Here is a 17,268-nt window from a genome sequence, read left to right as displayed (position 1 = left end):
CTAGGTCTCTGGTGGGAAACTTCTGATGGTCTCGAGCCAACGCCTTCCCGAAGATGGTGGGGGAGTTCTTGAACCCTTGGGGAAGCCCGGTCCAAGTGTACTGAGTAGTGACACCTGACTCCGGATCTTCCCACTGAAAGGCAAACAGCTTCTGCCTCTCAGGGGATAATCTGATAGGAAAGAAAGCGTCTTTCAGGTCCAAGCAGGTGAACCAGCTGTCCTCAGCTGGCAGCAAACCCAACAATGTGGACGGGTTAGGTACTGTTGGATGTAAAGTCAGTGTAGCTTGATTAAGCAAGCACAAATCCTGTACTGGCCGGTAGTCCTTGGTCCGTGGCTTGGGAACAAGCAGGAGGGGAGTGTTCCATGGCGACTGACAAGGAACAATAATTCCAAAAGTTGTTAGGTGCTTGAGACGGACCTGGATACCTTGAAGAGCTTCTCTGGGGACCCGGTCCTGTTTTTGCCTAACCGGCTGGGCCGCAGTCTTAACTGGCCAATCCCAGAGGGTTGTCTTCCGCCCGGACCCTTGGCCACCGCTTGGCCAGAGCTTGTCTTCTCTCTTGGCCCAGCTCAGTTCAGAAAAGTCTCCATTCCTCCTCTCGGGGGACCGTAAGGGTCATAATGACTCCTGTTCTGGGTAACTTTAGCAGCAAAGAGCCGTGCTCTGTCAAAGAGGTAGTGGCTCTCAGCTTGCTGAGCAAGTCCCTTCCCAAAAAGGGCAAGGGACAGTCAGGCATGTACCAAAACTGATGAATGACTTGATGTCCTCCTACAGTACAAGTCCGAGGCAAGCAGAAAGCTTGCTTTGCTGAAACCCCCATGGCTCCGGTGATGTCAAGAGCCTTTTTGGATAAGGGGGTGACCGGGGCGGTTACTAGCGAATGTTCAGCACCGCTGTCTACAAGAAAATCAATGTCTCTACCCCGACCATCATTCTGACCAGGGGGTCTTTGGGGACACTTGAGCCCGGTCTCCCCTCAGTCCAATAACCCTTCTGCCAGGTTGAGCCGGGCCCCTTCCTCCTTGTCCGGGGCCTCCTGCTCTGAGTCACCTTGTTTTCTTTTGAGCTGAGGGCATTTGTTCTTCCACTGTCCTATTTCTTTCCAATAAGCACACTGGTTACGCTGCAAACCCTGACAGCCAAGCTGAGTTTCTTTCCCAGGGCCCCCCTTCCCTTGCTTCTTTGGGGGGACCCCTCTGATTGCTGCAGCTAACAAACAGGTCAGCATTTCGCCAGGCCTGACGTTCATTCTCTTTGCGCTTTTCCTCGCGGCTTACTGCATCCCTGTTTACAAACACCTGCTTAGCTATTTCTCATCATTGTGATGTATTCATCCCTGCAAGCCCAGCCTGCTTCTGCAGTTTTCTTCTAACGTGTTCCGCGCTTTGACGGACTAAAGCCATGTGAATCATGTGCTGATTTTCAGGGTTATCGGGATCAAGGGGAGTATACATACCTTAGGCCTCACACAGTCTCTGGTAGAATTGTGCTGGACTTCTTTTCCCTGAATGACCTCAGAGACCTTGTTAACGTTTGTGGCCTTTTGAGCTCCCGTCTTTAATGCTTCCAAGAGAGCTTCCCGGTCTCAGTTTAGCCTTTGCATATCCTCTCTTTCACGTGGGTCCAACAGGTGTTCGGTTCCTGGTAACTGAGTCCTTCCATACTCTTGGGGGTTTTGATAATCAGCTGGTCTGGTGCATGTTCCTCTAGCCACTTAGTTGCTGCGTGGAGCCCTCTCCGCCTTTTGCCTTTCATCTCTGTTAAAGAGGAACATGAGCAACCGATGGCAATCAACCCAGGTGTGGTTGTGGGTCTGGATAACAGTCTGGAGCAAATCAATTAGGGCTTGCGGCTTTTCGCTGTAGGATGGGGTATTGTTTTCCCAGTTGAGAAGGTCAGCAGAGGTGAAGGGCTGGTACACAAAAACATGCCTCTCCACCACCTGACCATCCTCCTTTATCCCAGTATACCGCTGGTCTCTCAGTGGCATTTGGATCCCCGTTTTGCATCGTAAACGAGCAGCCGAGGGAGGGGTGGAATGGCGCAATGTGACTTACCGCAATTAATAATCTCAATTATTAATTAACACTTCTAATTATCAATATTAATAACTGATCATGTAATTGTTAAAATCAATACCGATAATAATGATAATTCATATTAAAGAGTTATACTAACGATAACAATAAATGATTAATATTAATGATGCCTGGTATTAATAAGTGATATTGATCTTATTCATTAGAAAACAGTAATATTAGCTTGTAATAATTAATATTAATATTAATAATCTGAACACTATTAGCAATGATTTCTTAATATTAATATTAATATTGGTAATACATATTCATGTTTATATTAAATGAGGAAGAATTAATATGAATATTATGCCTAATACCTCAGTGGGTGTACACCCACCTATGATATTGTTCCTAATGTCCAGAGAGGGAGAGAGCATGATATTACGTTCAATATCGCAGCAGGTGTACACCCACCCAGTGATATTGATCCGAATATCATCTCCAGAGGATGGCGTATGACGTTACTCCCAAGATAGCAGTGGGTGTGCATCCACCTGGTGATATTCCTCCTCATATTCCTGGAAGAAGAGAATGCTGTTACTCCCAGGATCACAGGAAGTGTACACCCCTTTTGTGACATTGTTCCTAATATCCGGAGGGGGAGAGGGTGATATTACTCGAAATATCGCAGGCTGTGTACACCCACCTTCTGATATTGTTCCTAGTATTCAGGAAGGGAGAGGACGATATGACTCCCCAAACAGCAGGGGGTGTACACCCATCCTGGGATATTCTTCCTAATATCCATGGAGAGGAGAGGCTGATAAGACTCCCAATATGGCAGGGGGTGTACATCCAGTCTGTGATATTGTTCTTAATATTCAAAGGCGGAGAGGTTGATATTACTCCCAATATCACAGAAAGTGTACAAACCCGTGTAATATTGTTCCTACTATCCAGAAGAAAAGAGGATGATATTACCCCCATGTCGCAGGAGGTGTACACCCACACTGTGATATTTTTTGTAATGTGCAGGGCGGGGGAGGATAATATTCTTAATAGCACAGGGTGTGTACAGCCCCCCTGTGATATGGTCCTTAATATTACAAGGGGGAGAGGATGACCCTACTCCCAATAGCGCAGAAAGTGTACACCACCCCAGGGATATTGTTCCCATGATCCAGGAGAGAAGAGGATGATGTTACTTTCAATATCGCATGGGGTGGACACGCCCCCAGTGATACTGTTCCTAATTTCAACGTGGGAGAGGACGATACTACACCCAATGCTGCTGGGGGTGGAAACACTCCCGTGATATTGTTCTTAATATCCAGGGGCAAGAGGATGCTATTACTGCAAAGAGTACAGAGGATGTACACCCGTCTATAATATAGTTGGTGATTTCCAGAGGCTGAGAAGATATTACTGACAATCCCGTCAACATGCTGTGTGACCACCGTGGATTGTAATATCCAGGTGGGGAGAGGGGGGTGATATTACTCCCCGCATCGCGGGAGGCGCCCGCCCCCCTGCGATGTGGATCGTAATATCCAGGTGGGGAGAGGGGGGGTGATATTACTCCCGGATTTTTCCTAGGATCTTTTGTCTACTACCACCCTTGTTTCACACCCTGGGACATTATTTTCCATATTCTAGCAACATGCCGCTACTAAAGTCACCGGGGTATACACCCTGCGATATTATTCGTAATATTGTAGGGGAATGTTATTCATGTTGTCACAGGACTCTACACACTTGAGATGTTATTCACAGTATATCCTAGCGGGACATTAATAATAATATCACAATGTGTGTACACCTTGTGGTCTTATTCTCCTAAGGGGAGGTTACTTTTATTGTCACACGGGGCAGGTTCCGTTTGATATTATTCATAATATCCTAGAGGGATGTCACCTCTTATGTCACAGGGTTTGTACACCTTGTCAAATTACTCGTATGATCCTTGTAAGATGTGACTCCTCGTATCACAGAGGGTGTACACTCTGTGATATTATCGTCATATTCTAGGGAAATGTGACTCTTAATGTCACAGAGGTTGTACACCTTGTGAAATTATTCGTTATAATTTTGTGGGATGTCACCCCTAATGTCACACGGGGTGGACACACAGTGATGTTACGTGCAATGTTCTATAGAAATGTTACTCGTAATTCACAGGTCCTGTACACCCTTTAATATTCTTCATAATATTCCAGGAAAACGTTACTGCTAATGTCACAGGACGTGTAGACCCTGCCATCAAATTCGTAATATCCTAGCGGGACTTCACTAGTCATTTCACAATGCGTGTGCACCCTTTGATATTATTCGTATTGTCCTGAAGAGATGTTACTACTGATGTCCCAATGCAGGTACATTCTCTGACATTATTCGTTATATCCTCGGGGGATGTTACTTCTAATGTCACACGGGGTGTACACAGAGTCACACAGTGATAGGAGTTGTAATATTCTACAGACATGTTACTCATAAATCACCAGGGCTCTACATCCTGGGATATTATTCATAATATTCTAGGGGAATGTTGCTACTATTGTCAAGGGGATGTATACCCTGTGATATGAATCGTCATATCCTGGCGGGATGTTACTACTAATGTCACAATGCCTGTACACCCTGTGATATTGTTTGTGATATCCTAAAGAGATGTTACTAGGAAGGTCACAATGCATGTACACCCTCTGATATGATTCATTATATCCTCGGGGGTGTTACTCCTAATGTCACACGGCATGTACTCCCTGTCATATTAGTCGTAATATCCAAGGGGGATGTTATTTTTATTGTCACCGGGGGTGTATGACATACGTATTCAACGCCTGTGATACTATTCCTAATATCCTAGGGGCATGCTCTCCCTAATGTCACATGGGGTGTACACCATGTGTGGACACCTGCTGTGATATTATTGGTAATATCCAAGGGGAATGTTACTCCTGATGACACAGGTGGTGTACATCATGTGTGTACACCGCCTGTGTTATTATTCATAATATCCTAGGGGGATGTTTCTTTGAATGTCACAGAGTGTTCAAAATGTCACAGAAGGTGTACACCTTGTGACGTGATCTGTAAGGTCGGCAGAGGTGAAAGGCTGGTACACAAAAACACCCCTCTCCGCCACATGACCATCCTCATATATCCCAGTATACCGCTGCTCTCTCAGGGCCAGTTGTATCCTCGTTTTGGGTCATAAACGAGCTGCCAAGGGAGGGGTTTCTTCCGAGTCTTCACCTCCTCTCTTGTCTACTCTGGGGGGCCTAGGGATATGCTTGTCTTGCGGAGGTGCAAGCACTGTGGACTCAAGAGTGGGAAGCCTCTTTCCCTGGTAAGGGGAGCGGATCAAAAACAAGAAATTAATGCCAGGACAACACTATTCAGTAAACTACAGAATGTGTTCAGATGTCACCAGTTTTTCCACTCATGTCCTTCTTCTTTCCCCAAATCCCACATTACATTGAGTCCCATGTCCCCCGTTCTCCTCCGATCTGTGACAGTTCCTCAACCTGTACTTGTCCTTTTATGACCCTGAGAGTCTTGAAGAGTACAGGTCAGGCATTTGATAGAATGTCCCTTAGTTTGGGTTTGTCATGTTTTCTCATGCTTTGATAGATTGAGATTATGGATCTTGGGGAAGAATGCCATGGTGGTGATGTGCTCTTCTCTGCTCAAAATACTGCGGGTATGTGCTATTGGCACATCTGTTGCTGGTGATGTTAGCCTTGATCATGTGATTGGATGGCATCTGCTTTCCCCACTCAAAGTTGCTATTTTCCCTTTTGTAAATAATACATATTTTGGGGAAAGTTCTTTCTTCTTATCCCTTTTCTTCTTAGTATCCTATATCTTGTCAAACTTTTGTCCACTAATTATAGTATTGTTTGGTGAATCTTGCAGCAATTATTGCTGTACTGCTCTGATAAAGTTTGTCTACTTTCCTTATTCTGTCTCTATTTGTTAACTGGAATTCTTCTGTTCTCCCTTACTTGTTATTTATTCAATCACTTTTTTATGTTAGCATTGACTTATGGTTATTTTATTCTTTGGGTTATAAAAAATGTTTTTGTTACTTATTTTGTTGCTCAGTTTTGTTCCAACTTTGGCCACTGGGAGCTCTTTTAGGTTGGCTCCTGTGTCCTTTTACATGATGTATTCCTTTTATAGTTTAAAAAATACAACAGAGTACAAATAATTAAAATTGTTGTCCACCGCTTTTTATTTTGTTGTTTCATTTGAATGAGAGAGTATGCTGAGACTAGCCAAGGAGCAAGTGAGATTCATTTGGGGTACGTAAACAAATCTTTAAAAGAGTTCCTCCCTCCCTTCCTTCCTTTTTCCCTTTCTTCTTTCCTCTCTTCCTCCTTCCTTCCCTTCCTCCCTTTCCTTCCCTCCCTCCCTCCCACTCTCTTTCTCTCTCTGTATGCACAATTCTTTTTGGCATATGAGGCTGAATGGTTGTAAAACGTAGAATCAGGAATCTACCTAGGTTGTGAAAATAACATGAATAACATGTGGAACTGTTTCTTTTTTTTCGATCACAAAGAATAACAAGAACTTCATATTGTGAAAGAGACTCATGAAATCCCTGAACTTGAGTGCTGCCCAAACTTCACTTGGGGAGAAAATTACAAATAAATTCCAGAATATTGATTTGTCTGATTTTTCAGTGAAAGGCTGAAAAGATGCCTAAGGTTAATTCATCCCTAATAAAGGAAAATTGTACTCACTGCTTGTTTATGCATGCTGCAGTGAAAAAGAAACTGTTCCTAAGCCCTGGAGAGCACCCCTTAAGTTGATGATGTCTTTGAAGCATAGTTGAAATTCTTTGAAGTAATGAGATTAATGAGGAAAAAAAAGAGAAATAATGGATGTCTGCTGATGCTATTTCATTAATGTTAGATTTGCAGTAAACATTTAAGACAATAATCCAAGAGAGATGAATCATTTTATGATGTCACATTGCTGCCAAGCATTGCAGTGAAAAACTCCATAAGAGCATCTCAGCCTAGCTATCCAGAGAGCCAACCTGTGAAAAATAGTGTCTTAAAACATCAGCCTGTTTGCCTTTTTTGTGTGTGAAGATTTGAATGCTGATCTTAGAATACTCAGGTTCATTTCTTGCTACAGGGAAATTAACCTGGCTGGAATTAATGAAGGCCACAGTGGTTGTGTTTGTGGAATACCCAGGGAAAGAGCTTTACAAGTTTTTAATAATGTTAACTCTCCATATAGCTGGGTGTAGCAGATTCTCTCGGTGCTTCACCTGGAGACCCTGGGTCTTTTAATTAGTTAATTTAATTTTTTTTAAAAATTGAAAATTAATTTCTGTAAGGAGGTGGGGTCTTGTTATGTTGCCCAGGCTGGAGTGAGAGCCTGGGTCTTTTTACTGGTTGGATGCTTTCATCCAGCTCCCTCCGTGGGTGGGTACTAAGGGATTCTCAGGTGTAATGCGCTGAGATATTGTGAAATATTAACTTGGTCTTCATTCCCGTTTCCTGGCATACAACTCCTGGAGTCCTTGGGATCACCAAAGTGCTGTCTTTTATGTGTCTTTTGTCTGATAGGTTCAGGGTGGGGCTGGTTACCAGAGTGGCCGAGGCAGAATCAGAGGGTTGGGACTTTTAGCCCCAGGAGGGGAGAGGGGCTGAAGGTCAAGTTGATCCCCAGTGGCCAATGGCTTAATCAATCATGCCTGTGTAATGAAGCCTCCATAAGAAGAAAAGAGGACAAAGTTCGAGAGCTTTTGGATCTCTGAACACGTGGTGATTCCTGGAGGGTGGCCTGCCCAGGTGTCAGAGGCTTTGGAACCAGAGTGACTCCATCAAATGGGTGAGACTGGAATTGGAGGGACTGGTTTTTCAAGATACAGGCCACAAAGACCCTGCTGATAAAATAAAGTGCGGTAAAGAAGCCAGCCAAAATGCACTAAAACCAAGATGGTGACAAAAGTGACCTCTGATTGTCCTCATTGTTCATTATACGCTAATTATAATGCATTAGGATGCTAAAAGACATGCCCACCAGCACCATGACAGTTTATGAATGGCATGGCAATGTCCAGAAGTTACCTATATGGTCTAAAATGGGAGGAACCCTCAGTTCCAGGAATACACTACCCCTTTCCTGCAAAACTCATGAACAATCCACTCCTTGTTTGTTATATAATCAAGAAATAACCATAAGTCTATTCAGTCCAGCAGCCCATGCTGCTGCTCTGCCAATGGAGTAGCCACCCCTTTACCCCTTTACTTTCTTAAAAAACTTGCTTTCACTTTACTGTGTCATCTTGCTCTTGAATTTCTGTGTGAAGCAGAGAACGTGCGTGGACTCCCAGCCTGAACTCCAATTTTGGGATTCACCCTGTGGCATGGGAGGGCATGGAAGCTCTGCACCCTACAAGTCTCTTCATCAGTATCATCTGTAGTGTCCTTTGTGGTAAACTGGTAAATGTGGTTCCCTGAGTTCTGTGGGCTGCTCCAGCAAATGAGTCAAACCCAAAGAGGGGCTTTTGGGAGGCCAACTTGAAGCAGGTTGGTCAGGAGTTCCAGAGTCCTGGACTTGCAACTGGTGTCCGGAGTGGTGTGGTCTTGGGGACTGAGTATTCAACCTGTGGGATCTGACGTTATGCCCGGGTAAATCGTGTTGGAATTGAATTGGAGGACATCCAGCTAGCATCTGCTGCTTGGTGGTGGGCGAAACCCCTGCCCCCTGCCTACATTTGGTCACAGATGTCATCTTCTGTGTTGATGATTGTTGCGGTGGTATGAGAGCAGAGGAAAAACATGGTTTGGGAGAGTTTTTCCCAACACACGCACCTTCCAGAAATGGTGCCCTGGCTGGGCTCTTCCCCCTTCCTTGTTTTTCTTCCCTCACACCTTACAGGTTTCTCCTTCATAAACCCCTTGTGGGTGTTTCTTCCCTGACGGTCTGCATCTCAGGAGCCCAGCCTAAGATACTTGGTGTACTTAGCAGATACATTTGAACTTTTGAATATATTGATTGTGAAACTTCAAGAAATAAATATCCATCTTGTTTCTCAGCATTGCTTACATCAGGAAATTATAGCCCACATTTATCTAAAAATACATTATATTAGTGCTAAACGTTTCTTTTTAGTGTTTAGATTTGGTGGTCTTGCTCTTAAGGAGAAAAAAAGTAAAAAGCAGTTTCTTCTAATATGTCTGCAAAATGAATTTAAGAAATCCATATTTTTCTGATATTTTGTCTGAAAAGCACATTTGAAACTCCATAAGGAAACCCTTTCTCACATGTTCAGTCTTTGCCAGATCTCTCAGAGGTGTTTTGGGAGCTCAAGCTTGAGTCTAAGACAACTTAATCAAGTGGGCTTTCAAGGTTTTTGGGAGTAAATAATCTCCTTGATCCTCTGAACACAAGTAAACATGTAGTGAACATCATTTCTCATTTTTATCAACATTAAAAAAAGCTGGCAACAACTTTGATGTTGAAAATGATCTTCATTGTGTTCTAATGGCCACTTTGACCAGGAAAGAGGAACCAGGGCAGACAAGCAGATTGAGACCTTGTGACTAAAATAAAGATTCTATTTTTAGGGAAAATGAACTATTTTCATCTAACATTGCCACAGCCTTGCTTTGTTTTGAGTAATGATATTTAATTTGTTAAGACGTTTGAAGTGACATGAAAGGCATGTTTTGTGTGTTTGGCTTTTGCGTTGGTGAACGGGGGGGACTTTGGGTTGCAGAAGGTTTTGAGGGCTCCCTTAGTGACCTCTGTGGTCTTTCCCTACAATGACATTCATTGAAAACAAGATTTACTTATTTTTTCTTAACTAAGACTTGAGTCTGAGTCAGACTACCTTTTCTTCCAAATAAGGATGTTGTGGAAGTTGCATTAAATTTTGAGTTTCGGGTCCAAACACTGAGGGACAGAGACTGCAGAATGAACCTCTCCCTGTGTCAACAGACTATGCTAATTAACATGGTTGTCTTTGGCTGATCTGCGAAAATTAAAAGATGACCGAGGGTCCTCTTTAGCTGGACATTCTCCCTCTCTACCTCCTTCCTTGCTTCTCCTTTCTTCTCTCTTCCCCTTCTACCCTGTTTTCTTCTTTATCTTCCTTTTCTTCCAATTCATTTCTTTCATCCATTTTCCTTTTTTTTCTTCCTTTTCTCTTTTTCTTCTTTCTTTCACGGCAACTGAAATATACCCATCCCAAAATAATTGCAGTCAACATGTCACCTTTTTTAATAATAAATATTCTACAACATTGACACAAAAGGACTCCTGCAGTTAAACATGAAGCAGAAAATTCGGTGGAAAAGAAGTGGGTGTAGACAGCAGGGATTGTTCTTGTGTGAGGGTGATTCTTAAGGAAGGCATTTTTAAGGGAGGGGTCTGCAGGGGCCAGATGCCAGAGAGAATTAAAGCTCCATGCCTTGGATGAGGATTCAAATCCAGAAATAACTTGCAGGAATCGGGAGATGCCTTTCTTGAGAAACGTTTGAGCTGGGTTGGTGTTGATCTTAATGACCTGTTTAGGTTGTCTTCTGTATGCCTTAATTTGCTTTTTTGTTAAGTGGGAGCAAGGATTGTGATTCCTTTCCATAGATGAGAGATATTGTGAGGGCCAAGGGCCCGTTGGAAGGCAGCATGGTGAGGATGTCAAAGCACCGAGCTGGGAGCCGGATCTGGGCCTTAGACCCAGCTCTGCTGTCCTCCAGGTTTGTAATCTTCACTGTGTACATAGCTTCTGAAGATCTTTTCCTCATCCATGAAATGAGATGGTCGAGTTTCTCAAAATGGGGTGCATTTTCTTGGTTCAAAGCTGTTTTGTGCCCCCCTACACTTTTGGATACATGCTTTTTAAAGGCATAAATGTGGTAAAAAAAAATTGCTCAGAAATTTTGTTGAAAGAGCAGATGGATAAATGAATGCTCCAAATTGGGGCCTCCAAGCATGACTGTGTGGGCTGTGGGGCTGTGCTATACACAGCGCCAAGGGAAAGGGGGACATGCTTCATGAAGATGGCGATGGCATTCCTGCCCCATGGATCTGTGGCAGATGGCTGCCTGATCCCAATGGACAAGGATTCAATGACCTGAAGTTGCTGAGAAGAACACGAGGCTCTTGAAAGATGTAACATCCCCTGTATCCTTCTATCAAGGGTCGTTTTCTAGGAGCTTCGAAACAATCCACTTGGGCTCCCCGTCTTCCTCTCTCCCTAGAGAAACACAGGTCTGTGCACACTTTCTGGGTTTGCAGCAGCCTTGGGGGTCCAGGACCTGCTAAGAGGACTTGGCAGGGCACCTGGGTCAGCAGAAACCTCGTGTTGACATGGGCCGGGAGAGAAATAACCTGGGTCTCCCAGCACTTCCCTTAGAAGCTATATTGTGTAAGTTAACAAGCCAAAGAATCCCTCACTGTCTAACCAAGGAAAATATTTTTATCTTACTCAGAAAGCAGTTCCCTCCTTTGTGCAGTGCAGCTAGAAGAAAACAACATTGTCTTGGGACACGCATCATTACTAAGAATTTTTCCGTAAATTTATCTGTGTGCCTTCTACAGTTACCTGTGTGTCCCCTGTGGTACCTATGGAAACCAGTTGTTGGGAAATCCTTGTTAAGGTAAGAGCGTCTATGGACCAGTGTGTCCCAATAGCTTTGGATGGGGGAGGCTGAGTTAGTTAATCAATTAACACATTCCTAGCACCCCCTGGTGGACATTGCTGGTCTAACTGACCTTGGAATTCCTGGACTTGCCTGGGCTGGAGATATCACACCCAGCCAGACACCCCCCACCCCGCCCCACTGCTGTGGCCCCCACCTGACCCCGACTGCCAACCACGCCTTCTTAATTTTCTCTGTGTTTTTCTGTCGCTTTGTGTTTGTTTCTCACAAAGCCCTGATGAAACTATCAGGGAACAAAGGACGAGAGACAGGGGTCTGAATCCAGAGTAAAGAGTTTCAGTTCCAGGCACTTCCTTGGGCTCAGCCCATGCATTGCTGTTCTCTGTATGTCAGACAGGAGGGGGTAGGTGAATTCCAAGGCTCCTTGTAGCAGAATAATGCAGTGTGGTAGAGCCTGGGCTTTGGGGTCGGTCAGACATCTGAGATGTTGGTTTATATCTGAGCTTAGTACTTGAGGCAAGTTACCTCAGTGCCACGAACTTTAGCTTTATGAGCTGTAAAATGGGGATAATAATGATAATAGCTGTCCCTGGATTTATGGTGGAGATCAAATGGGAGCAGGCATGCAAAGCCCAGCTCAGCATGGCACGTTAATTATCAGGCTCAGCTCATGGCAGTGGCTGTTTTTATTAATGCCACTGTGATCTTCCAATGATTTGATCCGGGAGATGCCTGCTGAAGAGAGCAAATCAATCTCTACACGATAGTAGGAATAGTAGCATCGATATGGCCTTGGTACTTATTTTGCATTTGGAAAAATTCCAAAATGCTTCATTCATCTCAGGTTTTTAGTGGGTAATTTGTCCCAAGTCAGTACCACTGGAGCCTGGAGCCATCTTCAGCCACGTGGGTGTCATCACATCCCTGTCTGCGAGTGCAGATTTGGGATGAAGACCAGAGTCAATAAGGTAGGAAATGACATCTGCCTAAGTGGCCCTGTTGGAGCCTGGGGAAAGCAGGGCTGTGTAGGTAATGATGTTCTCTGATGTTTCACAGCTGTAACTCTGTTCCTTGTTCCTGAGTAGGGCCAGGCTTTTCTGGTCTAGGTGCTCAGCCTTCTTCTACTTCTGTATATCTGTCCTTGTTCCTTCTCCTTTTTCATTCCTTCCTTGATTTTGCTAACACACATAGCACTCGCTGTATACTTGCCTCAGTACTTCACAGGAAAAACTCAGTTCATTTTCTCAACAACCTTGTGAGCTAGTTCCTGTCATTATGCCCCCTTCACAGGTGGGGTGAGTAGTGCCACTCTGGGTCCTGCCATTCACTGGGAGGGAGACCTCAGGAGGGACCAGGTCAGGGCTCTGACTGGACACTCAGTACTGACGTTTGGTATCAGGAGGGCAGAGTGAGACAAAGGTGCGCATTTCACACTCAGCTTCTGTTAGGGGACACAGGTTTTGTTAGAGGACAATTCCCCATGGCCCTCTCTCATTTCTGCATGTCTTGCAAGCAGAGGCACTGTCTGCCTTTTGTTCTGTGTTATCTTTGCATAACAAACATTCTTGGGAGACAGAGAGAGTGTCTCCCATTGGAACAAAGGTGGGCATGTGTATTAGTGTACTTTCGCACTGCTGATGAAGACATACCTGAGACCGGATAATTTATAAAGAAAAGAAGGTTTAATGGATCCACAGTTCCACGTGGCTGGGGCAGCCTCACAATCATGGCAGAAGGCAAAAGGCACGTTTTACATGGAAGCAGACAAGAGAGAGAATGAGAGCCAAGCAAAAGGGGAAACGTCGGATTTCATGAGACTTATCCACTACCACAAGAAAAATATGAGGGGAAACCATCCCCATGATTCAATTATCTCCCACTGGGTCCCTCCCAAAACACATGGGAATTATGGGAGCTACAATTCAAGATGAGATTTGGGTGGGGCCACAGCCAAACCATATCGGTATGCTTACTTACAACAGGTTCCCCAAGCTAAGCATTGCTGTTCTGTAATGCAACCCACTGCATATACAGTATTACCTGGCCCTCTTCATGTGGTCCTGTGGAAACTGAGGCTGAGGGCACTGGTGCAAAAACCTTGATTGTCTGGCTATTGCTGTTGCTGTGATAATAAAGTCCTTTGTCTCGGATTCGGGAGTCTCTCACGCCTCCTGTCAGCATCCATGAAACAGGCAGGCTGACTTGTTGGCTTGCAGGTAGGGTAAAATCTCATTGCCTTCACAGTTCCTGACAGCTTCCAGGTTCATGACTTAGAGGAGGCAGAAGTTTAGGATTTTAATGATGAATCAGCCATAGCATCCACTCTTAAATTGCTCATAGACTAATGGGTGTAGAGGGAAAAGGATACGTGAGAGAATGACATACAAGTTAAACAGTGAATACTTTCAGAGCAGTTAAGGAAAAGACAGTTGTTGGGCATGGCTTGAAAGATGAATGAGATTTTGGTGGATTAGGAAGCTGGGCAACGGAGTTCTAGGCAGAGGGAACAGAGTGAGTGAAAGCACAGAGGTGCATGTGAAGGCCAAGAGTGGATTCAGGGGACAGTGCCTGGTTACTTACAATTGTAAAATATTTCTTTAGTAAGGTGTAAGGAGCAGTGGCTAGAAGAAACAGCATGGACTTCGGCGTCAGACAGTAAGTCCAAGAGCATGAGAGCCAGAAATGCATGGCCAGCTGGGCTGGACAGCTTCATCCATTCTTCCAGAGTCACCCTTTACCCTTCACATCCTGCTCACTGTCCTGGCAGCCTGGCCTTGTCCCCTTGCTCTGTCTGGGTTGGCCAATGGGAGGTGCCAGTGAGAGATGAGTGTGTTGCAGGAAACTGAGGACAGGAGAGACTGATACGGAGAACAGGAGGATTGTTTATTTTAGGTACTCACCGGCTCAGTGGATTCATATCCAAAAAGCTGAGCATTGAACAAAGACTGAGCACAGTTTTTATAAGTTGACTACAGAAGCAAAACAAAAGCAGCTAATCATATGATAGGTCATATAATCTATAGCATAACGTAACTTGTGGCCCTGCATAGCTGTTGGCCTTGTGAAAGAAAAACAAGAACAGGCTAAATATAGACATTTGTAAAACACAGCTGTACTTAAGAAGCCAGGGAAAGGAGCAGTAACAATAAAGGAATTTGTCTTTCTCTCTTTTTTTCCCTTCAATCTTGCTCTGGCAGGGGGTTGTCTGGAGCCCATTCTTTTGGCCTTGGCTTCTCAAACAGTGTTATCTTATAACTGTTCTTGAAGTGAGATTGCTAGACAGAGGAAAACTTGTTCTTTTCTTCTTAACCCTTGACTTGCCTGTTACTTTTCTTGGAGTGAATGAATGCATATTTATTTTAAGTTTCTGCCTCAAGTGGATGAGAGGCGAGTGAGGTCAGGGTGTTGATCTTGGCTCCTGGCCTGCAAGGTTGCCTTGGGCTGCTCTTTTCCTTTGATGGAAAGTCACTGTGCCCTCAAGGGGGTCTCTAACCAGCGCTCTCTTTATGGATTTCTATAAATTCCTTCCTCTCACCTTTTCAAGTGGTAATGGCTGCATTACAACTAGCCAGGTAACCACACTCTCCTGTGTGGTCCCCAACCCTGCCTGTTAGGAATTGTGTAGTCCCTGTGGAAACTAACACGCCTCCTGGGATCTGACTGGAGCAGACTAGCTTCCCTGTTGGGACCCGAGTGGTACAGTGGCTGATGGGGATGAGATGGGAAGAACGTTAGGTCAAACCCTAGAGGACATGTGTTAGGAGCCTGTCTGAAGAATGGTTTCCTAGTTTCACCTAATGAACTCCATTCTCCCTTTAAGATCCAACTCAGATGTCTGCTTCCCTGGAAAGATTCCCATGAACCCATGCCACTTTCCATAGCATTTATTGACTGTGTTCTAATTGCCTCCTTCTCTATCTCTCTCTCTTCTGACTGCAGGTATCTGATGAATCTCCATATCTCTTACACTGCACACAATAAATACCCATTGAATGAATGAATACATATATGGATGGATGGACAGACGGATGATGCATGGTAGATGGATGAATACTGGATCCCATGCCCATTGAGGGTTTGGGTCAGGGGACTGATGTGAGCAGACACACAGAAGCACGGGCAGCCCCCGGCCTCCAGCAGATTCTTCCAACCCAGCTGGAAAGACATGATATGGACTTGGGAATTCTCTAACTCTGAAAGGCCCCCTCTGCTGAGGTGTCCCATGTTCACAGACAGTGTGCATGACCAGAGGTCAGAAAGAAGGGAGCTCACTCTGCTCTGGGCAGGGGGAGATCAGGGAAGGCTGCCTGGAGGAGGTGAGGCTGGAGTGGGGCATTGAAGGATGGGAAAAGTTATGTGGATGGAGAGGCGGAGGGAACAAAGGCCTGGGAATCTGATGGGCCAAAGGGAAGACAGGAGACAAGTAAAGCTTGGAGATTTTGTCGAGAAAAGAAGAGAGGAGGCAATTAAGGTGGGAGAAATGACACCAGAAAACCACTGAAAATGCCCCAGTGGGGTTTGTTACTTTTAAAAAAAAAGCAACCACAAAGAAAGACAATGAAACATCCATGTTTTCTTTAGTAAGGTGTAAGGAGAAGTGGCGCCAAGAAACAGCATGGATTTCGGAGTCAGGCAGACCTGGGCTAGAATTTCACCCTTGCTGATTTTTCACTGTGTGACTCTGGGCAGGTGACTTTACCTCTCTGAACCATAGTTTCCTTTTCTAGAAAATGGGCCTTGTAATAGTACCTCTTAGGGCTGCTGTGAAGGAAGGATAACATGGAAGCAACATGCCTATCATAGTGCTTTGTGTATGGTAAGTACTTTGTTGATGTTATTGTTAATAATATGACTACTATAGCCTTTATTATGTTTTGTTTTGTTTTGTTTGGGGGAATGTGACATTTGAGAGTCCTGGGCATTGTCTGCAGTAGCTGTGGCAGCTGTGATTGTGGGTAATAGAAGGAGAAGTCATGCAGGCACAAGGCTTTTTTTCTTCTCTGTTTTTTTGTGGCCTGAAAGAATGAGATAGCAGAATATTAATACTGCTATCTGGAGGCTTGACGCTGGGGCCTGGCGGGGGCTTGTTTTTGCAGCCAGAAATAGTCTGGCCTTTGCCTTTCCAGTGGGCAGGTTGCCAGGCCAACGAGTGTGTAAACCACCCGGCCGAACAAAGCAAAACTATTTTTACCTTGGGGAGCCCAAGAATGCATCACAGAGTTTACGCACCTGCCCCACCCAGCCTGGCGGCCCAAGCCAGTCGCCAATGGAGGCTGGTCTGCGGCAAGCAAGTGGAAAGCAAACAGTCCTGCCCCTTGGGGACCAGCTGCCCTGGCAAGGATACCAGGTGTTCCAGAAAGGCCCAGAGTACCCCCTCTTTCTCCTCTAGCCAGAAACTCTGAGAGAGTTTCTGAAGTGGTCACGCAAGGAGCAATAAAGGTTTAATTTTACCACCTAATTCGATATGAATAACAGCAATTCTACTCATAGCAATGCCTTCCACTTACTGAGATTCTGCTAGCCACAGGCACTCCGCTAACTGCTTACACATGTCGTCATCTCTTAGCCTGTAATAAATATCTCCATGAGGGTCATCCCCAGTTTTCTGATGTAG

General features: G+C 44.8%; 1 protein-coding gene across 22 annotated transcripts in view, besides 4 other annotated features; it reads left to right on the top strand.

Moving 5' to 3' along the window:
- SSUH2 (ssu-2 homolog) overlaps nucleotides 1-17,268 on the top strand; it is a 62,542-nt gene that overhangs the window by 6,533 nt on the left and 38,741 nt on the right. For 10 of the 22 annotated variants that reach the window (XM_047448236.1, XM_047448234.1, XM_017006515.2 and 7 more), the window contains 5 exons: nucleotides 3,360-3,501; nucleotides 4,242-4,397; nucleotides 11,484-11,651; nucleotides 15,594-15,905; nucleotides 16,382-16,470. The exons of 1 other annotated variant lie outside the window; for it this stretch is intronic. Coding sequence is in view for 5 of the 21 variants with exons in the window: in XM_017006525.2 (XP_016862014.1) it covers nucleotides 16,468-16,470 (3 nt within the window). In the remaining 16 variants the exon portion in view is untranslated. Of the gene's footprint in view, nucleotides 1-3,359; nucleotides 3,502-4,241; nucleotides 4,398-11,483; nucleotides 11,652-15,593; nucleotides 15,906-16,368; nucleotides 16,471-17,268 lie in introns of all 22 variants that reach the window. 11 more of the 22 variants (XM_017006521.2, XM_017006514.2, XM_047448231.1 and 8 more) reach the window with 10 other exon arrangements.
- Nucleotides 11,717-11,806: a silencer, noted in NCBI's record as "silent region_14028". NCBI's record gives its function as "represses an Ori minimal core promoter by ATAC-STARR-seq in GM12878 lymphoblastoid cells {active_cell/tissue: GM12878}" and the evidence as "EXISTENCE:reporter gene assay evidence [ECO:0000049][PMID:35858748]".
- Nucleotides 16,723-16,772: an enhancer, noted in NCBI's record as "active region_19393". NCBI's record gives its function as "activates an Ori minimal core promoter by ATAC-STARR-seq in GM12878 lymphoblastoid cells {active_cell/tissue: GM12878}" and the evidence as "EXISTENCE:reporter gene assay evidence [ECO:0000049][PMID:35858748]".
- Nucleotides 16,803-16,852: an enhancer, noted in NCBI's record as "active region_19392". NCBI's record gives its function as "activates an Ori minimal core promoter by ATAC-STARR-seq in GM12878 lymphoblastoid cells {active_cell/tissue: GM12878}" and the evidence as "EXISTENCE:reporter gene assay evidence [ECO:0000049][PMID:35858748]".
- Nucleotides 17,003-17,192: an enhancer, noted in NCBI's record as "active region_19391". NCBI's record gives its function as "activates an Ori minimal core promoter by ATAC-STARR-seq in GM12878 lymphoblastoid cells {active_cell/tissue: GM12878}" and the evidence as "EXISTENCE:reporter gene assay evidence [ECO:0000049][PMID:35858748]".

The sequence above is a fragment of the Homo sapiens genome, chromosome 3 (assembly GCF_000001405.40).
Source record: "Homo sapiens chromosome 3, GRCh38.p14 Primary Assembly".
In the NCBI taxonomy this organism is placed as follows: Eukaryota; Metazoa; Chordata; class Mammalia; order Primates; family Hominidae; genus Homo; species Homo sapiens.
Note: the sequence above shows the minus strand (reverse complement) of the source record. Positions and strands in the feature narration are given on the sequence as shown.